This window comes from Homo sapiens, chromosome 1 (genome assembly GCF_000001405.40).
Source record: "Homo sapiens chromosome 1, GRCh38.p14 Primary Assembly".
In the NCBI taxonomy this organism is placed as follows: domain Eukaryota; kingdom Metazoa; phylum Chordata; class Mammalia; order Primates; family Hominidae; genus Homo; species Homo sapiens.
In genome coordinates, this window is record NC_000001.11 from 107,152,781 (window position 1) to 107,168,822 (window position 16,042).

A 16,042-nucleotide genomic window follows, 5' to 3' on the forward strand; every position below is an offset into this window, starting at 1 on the left:
TTAATGCAGCATGCCTTTAATTACAAGTAGACTCATATTACTAAAAAATTGGAGAAAATAAAGTACTCTGAGGTACAGTTAGCAATAACCTCATTATGTTTACTGAAATAATTAAAAGAAAAGGTATAATTTTTCTAAATAAAATGTCAGAATGTGAAATGAAAATGGATTTTACTTAGGAAATTTACTAATGTGTGCCTGTGCTCTCGATAGGCATTTATTCAAGTACCTTAACAGATCTATTAATGATCACTCCATATTGTGCTATTTCTAGATAGACTTCTATTATGAAAGAAACTTTAATTATTGTAAGCATTGTGGATAGAGCATATTTCATTATGTTCAAATGGAATTTACGGAAGTGGTACAAAGCCTTTGTGTTTTGTGGTTTCAAAGGAACGCTGAGAGATGAGTGACTGGTAACTCATAATCTCAGGGCTATCTATAATTTCAAGTTCTGATTTACCTTTGGCTCAGGTTGCCATCTGGTGGCTGTCAGGTGACCCTTGAGAAAAGAACTTGATAAATTCAGTTACATTTTCCATGACATGGAATTACTATCAATTTTCCAAAAACTGGAAATGACATTGATTTATATAATAATCAAATAATCTTAAAAATACACTCTGTTCACATGAAACATAATTCAGTAAATGAATGAAGTTTTAGTAACAGTGACACCTTTCATTTGAACTGATTTATCCCTTAATTATGCCAAAATGGAATTTTTAAAAACCTTCAGTTCTTTCATTATTAACACTTCATTGTTATTAGTTCATTATTTAGACTTATTTCTTAGAAAAGTTTAACTCATGTTTGGAATGAATTAAGTTCCAAGGAAGTCTTTCTCATATACCACTATATCAAGTATTTCCTTTTTGAGGAGCCTACAATAGCTCCTTACTATCTATTGCATCATGTCTAAATTACTCTACCTGTTTTTTGAATTTGGGTGCATACAGCCTATCGTCCACTACTTCTCATCAGGACTCTATAGCATCTCCAGGGGACTATGGCTGGCAATCTGATTGGAAGGGGACAACTGGATTTGAGTTGAAACTGCCTTGGCATAGCATGCATGGCTTGTTGGAGAGGTCTTAGGAAGGAGCTGATGAAGATTATGGCAAATGTAACAAAACCTAAAACCACCTCATGTCATTTATTGTCCCAGATAGTGTGCGTAAGTGCTCTTTGTTGAGCTAATGCCTCACAAACATTACTGCAAACCATTGTTTGCAGAGTGAAGTGAACAGAGCATTCAGCACATGCAAAACCTAGTGGTGGTGGAGATAACTAATGTCGAATAATATATGGTCATTGCGGCCAACAGAAGTAGAGTCCTGAGCAAACTTAATACAAAGTAGTGTGTATACAGAGGGTAGAAGAATAGAGAAATAAGACCAGCACTCAGAATTTAAAGGTGAAATATTATTTTGCAACATGTCAAAGGCCACTTGGAAAATACTATCTGGTAGCCAAATGCCAGAAAAGGAGAGAAAATATTAAACAGTGCCAGAAAGGGAGAGAAAATAAGGCTGGGTTGGCCAAGTACAGTGGCTGATACCTGTAATCCCAGCACTTTGAGAGGCTGAAATGGGTGGATCTCTTGAGCCTAGGAGTTCAAGACCAGCCTGGGCAACAGAAAGAAACCCCATCTCTATAAAAATTAGCCAGACAAGGTGACATGCGCCTGTAGTCCCAGCTACTTGGGAGGCTGAGGTGGGAGGATCTGTTGAGCCCAGGAGGTCAAGGCTGCAGTGAGCCAAGATCATGCCACTGCACAACAGCCTAGGCAACAAAGCAAGACCCTGTCTCAAAAAAAAAAAAAAAAAAAAAAAAAAAAACTGGGTGGAGCAGATGGTGGCACAGTGTTTTAATGACTGCCTGGTGTCCTGGTTAATGGTAGACTTCTTCTTCTATCTGGCAGATATAGCCAGGATGGAAGAGGAACAAAATAATAAAGAACCTGATATATATATATATATCAGGTTGGAATATATATATGTATATATATTTCAAATATGCATATATAGTTATTAATTTAAGAGATACCAGACTATGTTGAGTAAAACAAATGTGGCTTATCTACCTGGAACTCCAATTTCACGTTAAGATTAGGGGAAAGATTTAACCGAATGCAGAGATGCAACATTTTTAAAGGTGAAACATGAGACCTCAAAATAATGAATGCTTTGCAGTGGAATACTGAAGTTACCTCCTTCAGTCCCCCTGGAGATAACCTTGTCTGCTTTTAATCTAGAGGATCATCACTTGCAAAGTGTGAGAAGCATTGCCCTAAAGCATCAGTCTCTCTGGACTGTTTTGAACTATAATGAGCATATTCTCCAGAATTTTGGAAGGCTTGCTCTGCTTTTCTTTGATTTTTGTTTTGTTTTGTTTTGTGTTTAACATGGGCTTTAGGATGGTCTCTTGATCCTCTGATTTTGAGGACTAGTGTTATCACCATGAAGCCCTCGTGTCATCTCTTGTCTCTAGGAGGACAAGCAGAAGACATTTCTTCTGTTTGGCATAGTCCGTGCTCTTCTCCACTTACTCTGATGCCACCTATCTTTCAATGTCTAGCTCAAGTTAATTTCAGGTCATATCATTCTCTTGACTTTTTAACTCATGTTAAATCTCTCTCTCTCTCTATCTCTATCTCTCTATCTAATATGTATAGATCTCTATATCTAGATAGACATATATAGTAGCCAGCACTGCCTGTGTACTCAACTGTACTCCACCATTTAGCACCTCATTAGATCTTATTGATTTATATACCCACATACACATTCGCTTCATGTTTACTGTATTCTGACTCTTTAAGTGGGTCACTACTCTTTAAGTGGGATGATATGTGAGAGAGCCACCACACTTGCTAATGTATAGTAGGAATTCACTAAAGACTATATATTATATTGTTTTTTATTCCTTGAACATACTCCAAGGCAGCAAATAAATGATAACATGGTTCTAGCTAATTAATTGATTTGAATATTTTAAAGTCATGCACTACATAATGATGTTTTGGTAAATGAGGGACTATTTATACTACAGAGGTCTCATGAGATTAAAATGCTGTATTTTTACGTACTTTTTCTATGTTTAGATAGATTTAGGTTCACAAATACTTAACATCATGTTATAGTTTCCTATAGTATTCAGTATAGTGACATGCTATACAGGCTTGTAGCCTAGGAGCAATAGACTATACCATACAGCCTAGGTATGTGTAGCAGGGTATACCATCTAGATGTGTGTAAGTACACTCTATGATGTTCACATAACAACAAGATCACCTAATGACACATTTCTCAAAATGTATCCCTGTCGTAAAGTGACACGTGACTGTATTTGATTACCGTAATGTTTTCTATTTCTTGAGCACATTTATCATAAATCTAATGTTTTCCTCTGTAAATTAAGAGACAACTAGCAAAATTTAGCTACTGTACTTGGGCAGCTTATGCTGCTCTCAGAAAAGAAATTGTAGAGGCAAAATCTACTCTGAACTCAGATACTGAAATCTCTCTCTTTTTCTGTAGACTATATATGAGAATTTTTTTCTATTTCTAATTAAATATAGGAGGTTTGGTATGTGAGGAAATAAGAATCTGTTTAGATAAAAAAGGCTATCCTGATATATGTTCAACACAGCATTATAACCAACGGAAAAAAGAATGAAAATATCATCAAGATATCCAAGTGGAAGGCAATTAAATAAAATATTGTATAGCCACATAATAGAATATGTATAGCTATTAAAGTAATATTTCTGAAGAATATATAATGAGAAAAATAAACATGGAAAACATAGTAGTAAATTTGTTTAAAGAATGATATGGCAAAATGATTTCAATGTTGTGTATGTTTTTAGGATGTTGAGCTCATTGTATTGTATTTAATTGAGGCTAAAAATTTAGGGCTGCATTCCTGTGTGGTCCAGGGACAGAACTGCCATTGAATGTATACTCCGTGTCAGTCATGGGGAAAGAGGTGTCAGGGAACTTAGGCAGGTCCCACTCTCTGGTCATTGCTCTCTTTTGTCTGTGCTTCTGGAGGAAGAAGGAAGGTAGCCTTGACCACATGGTATTAAGCGAAGTCAGGCCATCTCTTTGGAAGCAATAAGCTGAAGATGAGTAAATTACACCTTGTAAACTATACCTGTGGCTTTAAAATTTGCTTTAAATCGATCCACAGTGAGAAATAGATTTTATGTTGGAACACAGTAAACACACACTTATCCCCACACACGGCCAAAACAAAAGCTTCACAAAACAGAGCTTACACTTTCTATGTGTTATGGCCTCTGATATTTTTTCTTCCATTATATTCTTTTCTCTTATTTAACAACTAATTGGAAAGTATATACTGATTATGATCCACAAATTATATGTAGCATTGTTTTTGAAACTCGAATAAGTGGAAAAATACTGTACCAAACATTGCATAATGTCCTTTTTTAAATTGAACATGAAGTTTTTGAGATAAACTGTTGTATAGTATTCTAGCATATGAATATCTCTTCAGCCAGCCTTCTATTCCTAGGCATTTCAGTTTTTTGGATTTTACACTCTAAGGTTCTTGATTGGTGTTGTCAAATTGTCCACCAGAAAGATAGAGAAAGATAGTTAACAATTTGTACTTCTACCAGCATGTTATGCAAATATGCTAGTCATTATCCTCATCAATACTGCACATTATATTCTCACATTTTCTTACACTAAAAGGCCTTAGCAAATAAATGAGGATATGGAGTTTAACCAAAAGAATAATGACAAAATTATCTTATTCCCACCATCTGTTTTCCTAAGGTTATAATGTTTTAAATTTGAGATTGATATAGGGACATATTTGAAGGTAAAAATGGCATTTCATTTTTTTTAAAGATGCATTTATTGAGAGGGTTGATTTTTAATATGTTTCTTGGCTATTTAAATTTCTTTATTTCTAACTGTAAGAGTTTTAACTCCTTTGTACTTTTTGCCTCTTGGATTCTAACTTTTTACTAAAGCCAAAAATTAATACTTATTTATATATATGTAATATTTGGACCTTTTACAAAAACTCCATTTTCTGTCAGCATAATCCATTCAAAATATGAATATCTTTTTGCCATAGAACAGATATCATTTCAGAGACTTTTCCACACTCCTCATTTTGTGGAAATGTTATGGATTTCTGCACTGGATTTTGGTGGTAGAGACATAATCTTAGGGCTGGGAAAGATTCATCTGAGTGCCTGCTTCTGTCTTTTGTTCCTATTATAAGAACTTGGCTAAGTTGTCATTTACTCTCAGGCAAAGCATCCTTTCCCCTTAGAATCAGTCCCTTTGAAAAAAGTTGAATCCTAAAACATAATTCCTTGTATAAAACTGCTGGTATGAAATCTGCTCTGGTTTTAATTCACCAGTCTAATTGGCAGGCTGGTTTTTTGTGTGCCATTTAAAAATTTCAGAGTTTCTTTTCTTACAAAAGGGGAAAATGATGAAATTTGTTTCATAAGCATAAGATTGGAAAAAACTTACTGAGATCGGCAGGTTGTAAATTTCTTTTCACCTTGCTAGGAATAGATAGATTCATATAGTATCTATTCCATGAAAATTAAAGATGTGAGCTGAGGAAAAAACAGAATTGGTTTCTCTTTGACCTGCTTTGAAGCTGACTTCTAAAATATTAAATGAAGAATTGAACTAAGTGTTGCTCCAGTACAAAGAAATAGCCCTTTTGTTTCAGAGAGTTGATGTCCATTGAGAAGTCCAGCTGCCGACATTATCATGAGGCCATATCTGCACAGTGATTTTTCACCGTCATATGTGGCATTTTGTTGCTTTCCTGTTGCTCCCTTTCCTTCTTGGAAATTGTAAAATGAAGAAATCAAGTACACTTCCAGACAATTTCTAAGCGTGGTCTGGAAACTTGTCTTGTGTTTCAGCAATGTTGTCATGGTTCCTCTATAGTGATTCGTATGAAGGAAAAAATTATAAACTGGTAGAAAAGATTAGACAAGTGTAAGGAATATGAAGCCTGCCGAGAAGTTAAAAGACTGTTCTAGAAAAAGAATTCTATATTTCAAAGAAAGATATTTTAGTGTGTGCATAGGTGCCAGAAGACATGAATGTGGGATGTGTAAAACTATAAATTGTCTGCCAGATATGGAGAGCTGAGATTTGTAGGTCATATGAAGGTTATACTAAAGGGCCTCAATCTTTTTGAAAATGACATTCAAAATTTTTGGATTCCTTTGTGGGTCAGAGTAGACTGAGGTCATTCATATTGTGGACCGTCTGCATGCTCTCTCAAGAGAGAACAGAATCCAATGTGTGTGGTCTGCATAACTTACAGAAGAAGATGTGTGCATGACATAGAGAAAATGAGTTGGTGGCCAATATGCTAATCTGAGGTTGGTTGTTGATGCCTGGGCCACTCCATATGGGTTTTTATTTCAAAGTTTAGAAAGACTAATCTTATATGAGGTGTTAGGGAGCATACTCATCAATGTGGCTACTATCTGGCTCAGAATCATGTTCTATTTAGCCATCACGGGAGACAGTGCTTTTATAGTGCCGAGCATGGTGTGATGCATATAGGAGTAGTTACATGCTTGTTGAATTGAACTTTGTGCTATATTTTTACAGATAATACTTGTAGCTGATATTTATGAAGAACTTACATGGTGTCATGCACTGTACTGAAAGCTTGGACTGTGTTGGTTCTTATAATCCTCAGTCCTATCTTATCCTTACTCACCAGAGTAATTGGAGCCTGAGGTTAAATAATTATTCTAAGTAAGTAGTGCAAACAGGATATAAACCCACTCTGACATCTACGTTCCACTCTTAAACTATTCTATTCCTCCCCTAATTTTATTTGCAGCATATGGAATAAGACCATAGTGAAAACCTTTTTTAAAAAATCAAATTTTTGATTTGGGCTGTGAGCTACAATACTATCATTTTGTTATTTAAAAAGCCTTTCATCTGAAATAACCTCAGAAAATTGGATTGTGTAAACAGAGTGTATGGAAGGTTGAAAATACATATTACGTGATGAGTGTCTTCATTCAGGGATAAGAGAACTGATCAACAGTGTTTGTTTCCATTCTTGCTTTCTTTTCCATTAACGTGTTCATATAAATGGAAATAAGCTGTTAGAAATCATAGAGAGCGGAGTACATATTGTATTCATCATGTAAAAAACAGAATAATAAGTCAGCAACTGTTGGCTAGTTAACAAAATCATATTCTTGTGGGTGAGGTGTTGAGAAAAGTAGTTAGTGTGATGCTTTTGTTTTGTTTTTGGTTTTTTACAGTATCAATAACAACTGTTATCATATAGCCAACTGCCTACATGCTGTCTCTACTTGGATGTCTAGTAGGCAGTTTAAACTTAATGTGTTTATTATAGAACTCTTGATTTCTTCTTCCTAAATCTATTCTGCCTCTAGTATTTCCCATATCTGTAAATGGCAACTTATATTCATCTAGCTGCTGAAGATGAAAAATCTAAGAATCCTCCTTAACTCCTTTATATCCCTCACAACATATATTAGCAAGTGCTGTTAGCAAAATCGTCAAGATATATTGCAAATCCAACCACTTTTTACCTTCTCCACTGCCAACAGCCAGGTCTCAACCAGCTGTGTCTCTAGGCTAGACTCCCGCAGTATCTCCTAATTGGTCTCCCTGCTTCCTACTTTTGTCCTACTATCAACATCATTTATATACTATATAATATAAGCTATTATAAAATAGAGACGTACGTAACATAATAATGTATGTGTGTGTATAATTTAAAAAAATCTCAGCCAGTCTGACCCTTTCCTTGTTCATTTTTTCTCGTAACTTTGTGTCCATTCAACATCATATGCTAACCCTTACTACTGCCTGGAACTTCCTATCTAATCTGGCTCCTGCATGCCTCTCTAACCTCCACTGTCATTGCTCCCACCTTGCTCAGTCCTCTCTAGCTGCACCCTTTTGCTGTTCCTTGTAACACTGTTTATTCCTGCTTCTTTGCTTGGATCTGCATTCTCAATATCTTCCTATAGTTTTTTCCTAACTTTTATTCAGGTCTCCACTTAAAAAACCTCAAAGGGGCCTACCTGACCACCCTATTGAAATGCATCCTCTGAATTTTTTATGGGGATTATAGTAAAAATATTTACAAACCGGGACAGCACAAATACTGACCAATCAGAAGAGATGACAATGGTTTTACTCCTTACAGGCCACTTTCTGACTATCAGACTATAACTGATATCTCATAGGTTATATATTTGCTCATTTATTTATATCTCTTTTCCCCTCCAGAATACAAGCTCCAAAGGGTAGGAACTGTGTTTCGTAGTGCCCATAGTAGAGCCCCATAAACATTTGTTAAATGAATGAATGAACCGTTAAACAGAGATATATTTGTTTGACCATAACCTTCATATCAAAGATTATTGCTCTGATATACACAAGGTCTTTGGGGTATTGGCTGTGCTGGAGGCCCTTAATCTCTTAAAGGTCCTTAACCTTTAGCTTTATTTTTCAATTAAAAATATTTTAAGGTACATAAGCAGTATAATAAATACACGTGCAACCACAACTTATAGGCCGGGTGTGGTGGCTCATGCCTGTAATCCCAGCACTTTGGGAGGCTGAGGCAGGAGGATTACTTGAGGTCAGGAGTTTGAGACCAACCTGGCCAACATGGCAAAACCCCATCTCTACTAAAAATACAAAAATTGGCCAGGTGTAATGGTGTGCACCTGTAATTCCAGCCACTTGGGAGGCTGAGGTACGAGAATCACTTGAACCCAAGGGGCAGTGGTTGCAGTGAGTTGAGATCGTGCCACTGCACGCCAGCCTGGGTGACAGAGTGAAACTGTGTCTCAAAAAAAAAAAAAGAAAAAAAGAAAAAACACCAAAAAAACCTCCACGACTTATGATTAACAGTGGTAATGTTATATTGTTTTTGTTAGAATTAAAAAAAAAAAGATATCACTGACAGAGTTGAAATAATCTTTGTCCCTATTTCCCTAAGAAGAAATCAGTATCTTGCATTGCTGTATTTCCTTCTAGTCCATGCTTTTATGCTTTTATACATGGATTATGTGTTCAAAAATAACACATACTTTTGATTTTGGATTTTTTTAATGTTACCATCCTGGAGAAAAAAAAAACTATTCTGTAACTTGCTTTGTCATTCAATGTTATATTTGTAAATTATCCATTTGATCTATATGATCATGTTAATACTATATATATGTACATATGTATGCATATGTATATATTTTATTGTATAAATACATAACTCATTAATGGAAATTTAGGAAGTTTCTTTTTTTATTTTTAGTTTTTGCAATTACAAGCCACTCTACAAGAAATATCCTTGCACCAAACTCTTGGTGTGTATGAGCAAGTTTTATTTTGTTTTTCCCAAGGAATGCACCCCAAAGACAATCTGTTGGACTGTAGAGTATGAACATTTTCGTCAAATGGGGATGCACTACTTTGAACTCCTATCGACAGATTTTAAGTATTCTCCTTAATAAGTTTTGTCGTGTTTATTGATATGCTTCCTCTTATTATGTAATTACTATATTAAGAAATCATGTTTCTCTTATTTTCTTAGCTGTCAGGAATAGATTTTATGATGTATCATGGTAACCACAATTAACTTAGAATTTTTGGTAAAACTCTATGTACTATGCCTCTTAATGTCTCATTTTTGTTTTAATTATTTAATAATAAATCACTTGGAAGTTGCATAAGCATCACCAATAAATATTTAGAATGGCAAAATAACAGAAAGAAGCATGAAATTTGGATAAATAAACATTGAGCTAAATTATGAGCAAATTTCTTTGACTAGAACTTTACACAGGGGGCAACAAATTTTAAGAGTGGCACCTTACATCTGGCCACCCGAATTAAAAGATATACTCTGACCTATACAATTTGTATAAAAGTCCTTCTTTTAAAATTTTTAATACTTAACCATATGTAATTTTTTTCCCAAATTTACCGTCTTCATTACTAGACTATAACAATAGCCTTATAGTGCTTTAAAACTGGAAGTCTTTTTGCTTACTTTGCAAGATGATATATAAATATTGCATCATCCATCACTGGAATAACTTGTCTCCTAGATTAAAACCTGAGGGTGATGTGTAACTGTAATAAATTTGGACAGCAAGGAAGGGTTCTATTTCCAATTAAAACCACAGCCAGGAAGTTTACATTTAGACTGACAAGGGAGGTAGATCAGTACACATTTTGTACATCTTCTTGTTTGTTCAGGGGGAATTGGAGGATCTTTTAAAAGTAGCAATGATAAGTCTTTACATTTCTTTATGACCTCATAAAAAAGAGTCAATTGTCCCTTCTTGAAAGGAAGTTTCTGGGATCAGAAGCTTTTTGGGTTTTTAGACATTTAGAGCCAAGTGTTCTGAAGTGCCATGTCTAACATGGGGAAGTGCATACCTTTATGGATATTTTATTTGGATTTAAACAGGTCTGAAGGTTCAAGATGTACCTCAGTCAAGTTATTTTACTTCTTTGTTTTGAAAAATAATAAGATGATGTACTTAGCACAGGGCCTGGCATATAGTAAATACTCAATAAATATTAATTATCTTTATCATTGTGATTATCATTTCTCTTGCTAAAATGTACAAGTCCTTCTGATGCTTATTTTCTGCTTTGAATGAATCTTCTGAAGGTTTTCCTATTAGTTTCCCTTTCTGAAATGTGTCTGGCTTTCCTGGATGTTACTAATGGCAGCTAGTAGCTAACTGCTTGTGAGGTTCAGGCTCCAAGTAAGGTATTTAAAATCAAAATAATTTCACAACTGTGATTTTAAATTAAACGAAGTGTATTCTAAATAACACAGAATTAAAATAATCACTCATGGATACAATGACATTTGCACTGAGATTATATTGGCTCGGTGTTTTAACAACTGCTTTAGAAATGTCTACGAACGATGTAATAACTATTTCTGAAAACAAAGAAAGCTAACAACATAAACAATTGTGCAAATAAATTAAAGCTCTTTTTATTAATGACATATTGGAATAGGCTCAATATGTTGGCTCTCATAAAGGCATAGCAAGTGAGAGGAATTCCTGCTGCATGGGAAATGGAAATGCTAGGTTCTAAATCAATTATTTTGGCTGCCATATTATCCATATTATCCCCTTCCTCAAAAGCATCCAATGGATTTCCGTCACACTGCTACTCAACAAAACAAAACATTATTAGATGGAAACTTAGCTCCATAATTTCTACTTACTCCAGTTGCATTTTTTACTTCACAGTGTGTTCAATTAGAGACAGCAACAAGTTGCATTATCAAGGTGACTGTGAATTAAAAAGAGGTGCTATTTCCTTCCAATACATGTAGCTTTGTACTGTGGCTTGAGGAGGGGAGAGCAGGCTGGATCTCAGCCTCCACCTCTAGCTTGGTTGGACTTCCTTGTGCTGGTCACAGCCTGGCCAACAGTGCCTGCTGGTCCCAAGCACCATGCAGGCCTCACAATTATAACTTGATTTTGTGCAGGACTCATACTACATTCTGGAAAGAGAACCATGAAGGGTGAAAAAGCTGTTGTAATCCATACAGAAACTTTATTGATGTGACCATTGGGTGATAAAAGTAACAAGTGTTAGTAATTTAACTTACTGAGTACCTGTTATGTGCAAGGTACTGAGCTAGAGGTACAAAAATGTGCAAAACAGACTTATTTCCTAACCTCTTGGAGCTCATAGCGAAAGCAGAGAGAAATACTTAAATAAGTACACCAGTAACTACTACTGTGATAAACACTTCAAAGAAGAAATTTAAGCTCCTATGAGAGTATGTAATCTTAATGCTGGTGATGTCAGGAAAGTAAAGACCATTGTTCTTGAGGAAAATATGAACGTTGTCAAATGCTAGATTTGTGCAGTAATGGTTTTGGTTTTGCATCTACATTTTTACAGCTGTTAGAAACAAAACGCTTGTTCCTCAGTGCCACAAAGAAATAGCACTCAAACATAAATTTAATTTTCTCAGCAAGGCAATTTTTACTTCTATAGAAGGGTGCAACTTGCGACTGAATAATGGCGAGAGCATACCTAGACAAGGGAGGGGAAGGGGTTCTTATTCCTGACGCTGTGTGGTTCCCCTGTTGGCTAGGGTTGGACCGCACAGTCTAAGCTAATTCCGATTGGCTATTTTAAAGAGAGCAGGGATACGAGCCAGAGTGGGGTGAGTAGTTTGGCGGGAAGGGCGGTTACAGAACAGGTGACTCAGGATGATTCAGGTCAGAGAAGGTGACCAGGAGTGACTCAGGATGGAGCAAGTGACCAGGGGTGACTCAGGTCAAAGCAGGTGACCAAGGGAACAGATGTGAACTACTGATTAGAACTAGCGGGAAAGCTGTTTACTGAAACTAGAGGCAAGGGGCGAAGAGAACCAGGAAGTTAAACTTTAAAATGGAGAATCAAAGAATAAGAGAGCTGAACATACTGACATACGGATTCTTTGAAGAGAAACTTGGAATTCACTATATCTAACAGCGTTTAAGACATGCAACTTTATTATTAAAATTCCTACATTAAAATAGCTTTGCTGTTATAAGACGAAAAATCCCTAACTCCTTTTTGTCACTGAAACTATGTTTTTAAGTTAATTAAAGAGCAAGTTTTCTTAGCAATGCAACTGCCCTCTTGTAGTAGGTAATTCTCCTTAACAATGCACTCACCATTTCATTTTGTAATTATTAGTTACTAGTCTGCCCCCCACATCAGATTGTAAGCTCCTTGCAGACAGAAATGAACCTGTGTTCTCTATTGTATCCCTGGCAATTAAGTATAGTGCCTGATACATAGTGAGCCCTTAATATCTAAGCATGGAATGAAGAATCCTTCTACCCTGTCTGCTTTCCTAAATTTCTGCTCTCCACTTTCACTCTTTCATTTTAATTATTGTCCGTCAATAATCTTTTCTGCCACATTTTTCTTATTTCCAGTGACTTTGCCATTATTTATTATGTCAAAGTAACCTCATGAAGAATCTGGCAGAAGGTGATACTTGGGGCTGTTTTGTGGGAGTATTTAGTGGTTTCTCTCCACTGTGAAGTCCCTACGTTGTGTTCCCTAAGTGTTCTCTAAACAGTTAGTTTAGTGCTGCATGTATTTATGAAATTCCTTGCTCTGTAGAGCCCTGGGCTGGGCATAATGGGAGATAACAATGACAGACTGGCCTCTGCCTTCAAGAAGCTTTATAAAGTCAATAATTATTTACAAAGAAGAAACAAATATTATGCCAGCACTACATGTAAATAGCAATGGGAACACAGAAAGAAGCAGTTCATTGCAAACTCAGAGGGATCAATGATAGCTTCATAAAACCAGAAGGCCTTTGAGCTAAGCTTTGAGAAAAAAGTAGACTACTCTAAGCTGGAAGAAGAAATAGAAGGACATTCTAGCTTAAGGAAACTGCAAAGTCTTGTATTTCGCTTTCCTTTTAAAATAAGTTTCTTTTGTAGATTTATCTCAACAGTAACAAATGTTACCATTGTGCTGTCTGTGAATTAATGTAAATCCTGCTCAGCTCTCCTTGTGTTTCCCAATACATAATATACTACCATCGTTTCTTATACTTCGCTTCATCTCTCTATAAGCAATCTTTAAATGCAATAATGTAGGTGAAGGTACTTTATAAAATGCACAGTACTAGATAAAATAGGAGGAAAGTGGTATACAAAAGTAAGTTGCCATAATTCTTATTTTGTATTTATTTGCAAGCTCAGTGATCACAAATCATAAGTACTTAACAGATAATATAAAGATCCAATTCAAAATATATTTACAAAAGCCTGATCAAGTAATTTTGGACAAGTCACTTATTCAAACTTTCTGGGTTTCAGGGAGTTTTTAATTTTTTTTTTATGAAGATTATCTGAAACAATTGACTGTGAAACCAAAAGTACAAGAAAAAGTCACTCTTAATAACATACCAGACCCTTGGATTGACCCTGGCCTTTGCCTATCAAAAACGTTCTAGAGATATGAGACTTACATAATGGAGATATACAATATCTACATAACAGTAGATGGGGAAATATCAAAGTCACTGGTGCTGTCATTAAGTACCATGGGTTTAAGTGCTTTTATTTAGAGATGGGTACAGTCAGAAGGATCACAATGACACAGAGTTCAGATACAAGCAACTTAACCTGCTCTAGGTCGTAATCTCTGACATTCAGAGGACATTCTGTAATCCCAGCCCAAACCTCAGTTTTCCCTCCAATTCTCAAATACTGATTCATGACTATATGACAGTTTCAGTGGTATATTGGACTGTTGGTTTTACCACTGTTTTCCAGTAAGAAAGATTTATAAAATTGCCTAAGTTCTATTTTATTTGATTTGCCCCTCAGTGTTACAGAACAGATCTTCATAACTTCATGAGACTGTCTACAGTTATCCTTAGAGTGGCACGAATTTATGCATGTTCACCGAGAAGAACTTTATTTTAGAAGAATCTATCTGTAATGACAGAACATCGGCATTACCTTTTCCACAGTTTATTAGTAGTGGGGATAATATATATTCTATATGATTTATTATTATCAGTGTTAAAATTTCGAAAGTGCCTAAAGTTCAAGACCCATATTTATTATACTAATAACTTGTATAATTATTAGTACAAATATAAAAATAATATGTATTTTTATATTTGTATAAAAACTTAAATATGGTTTTATGTATCTTTAGTCATGTTAATTCTAATATGTAGGTAAAAGCCTCATTTAAAAAATGAGGAAACTGAGGTGAAGAGGTTAAATGACTTGCCATAAGTCACAGTAACTAATAAAAAATAGTTGTGAGATTGCTGGATATCATTAAGGTGATAATAATTAATTTTTATTGAGTATATTTCATCAGGCACTGTCTTAAATGCCTAACATGTATTAATATAATATTTGAATGAAAGCGTGAGTAGATTTTAGAAAGATGTAAGTATATTGCCCTTAAGTTTTCCAGTTTTTGTAAAGCCATTCTTTTTTTTTCATGTGTATATTGTTTGTTAGTTAAGTAAGCATTTGGAAAACAAAACAAAACTTTACAGTCATAATTGATGCTTCTTACCTTGGGTTGTCATAAGGCTTATGAAAGGCTCTGCAGAAATAATGCTAGAACAGACTCCTCTGGGCACTACAGGATGGAAGGCATTGGGCTATTGACAAATTGATACCAGAAGAGAACTTTGAGGTCTCTGAAGGAAAAACACCCTGTAATTTCACAGTATAACTAAAGGGAGCTTTACTTTGAAACAAGATTATTCATGAAGTCTAGCCTGAAATGAACAAGACAATAAGTGTTGCTCTACTGCCCTCCCTCCCCGCATCCCCCTTATTTCCTTCCTTCCTTCTTTCTCTTTTTCTTTTTTAAGGAAGTACATCATCAGCACAGGAAATCACTGGTAAAGTCCTCATTTTCACTTTAGAATCCTGTCAAAAAATGACCTTAGCAACTAGATTGTAATAAAAATAATTTCAGGAAGCTGTAAAATTATGTCTACAATTAGTTATTAATCGATGAAGTAAGACACTACATCTAGAAGAGTATTTTTCTGATATATAAATCTTATTTGTTTTTAATATTCTGGACAGTTTAAAATATTTCTCTCTCTCAGTAGAAACTTTTCCATATCTGCTTTAACTTGACACTATGCCCCTGTCTACAACTGTTCATGAGCATCTCTGCTCCCTTGAGGAAAATAGAAGTGGAACTACTTTGTGGTGACATTTACCAAGGACAACAAAATAAACCCAATAGTAAATCTAGCTTAAAATAATCATATTTTAAATTGCATCCTGGATAAACATAGGAATAAGCACATTGTATTATATCTATAGCAATATCTGTGATTTCACTCCTATTTGGCTCAATCCTCCAAACTCAGGACAGGCCCATTAGTCTCTTAACCATAAAGGGCTGATTCATAGAACCAACATAGCAAAACAAAATCTGCAGAAACATCTCAAAATAATTGGATATAT

At 35.2% G+C, this 16,042-nt stretch overlaps 1 protein-coding gene across 18 annotated transcripts in view, besides 1 other annotated feature; it reads left to right on the top strand.

The window, feature by feature from the left end:
- The window catches only part of NTNG1 (netrin G1), a 344,836-nt gene that overhangs the window by 12,693 nt on the left and 316,101 nt on the right, over positions 1 to 16,042 (top strand). The gene's annotated exons all lie outside the window — the stretch shown is intronic.
- Positions 11,678 to 12,877: an enhancer, noted in NCBI's record as "BRD4-independent group 4 enhancer chr1:107707080-107708279 (GRCh37/hg19 assembly coordinates)". NCBI's record gives its function as "activates an origin of replication core promoter dependent on BRD2, P300/CBP, MED14 and CDK7 cofactors, and independent of BRD4, by STARR-seq in HCT116 cells {active_cell/tissue: HCT116}" and the evidence as "EXISTENCE:reporter gene assay evidence [ECO:0000049][PMID:35650434]".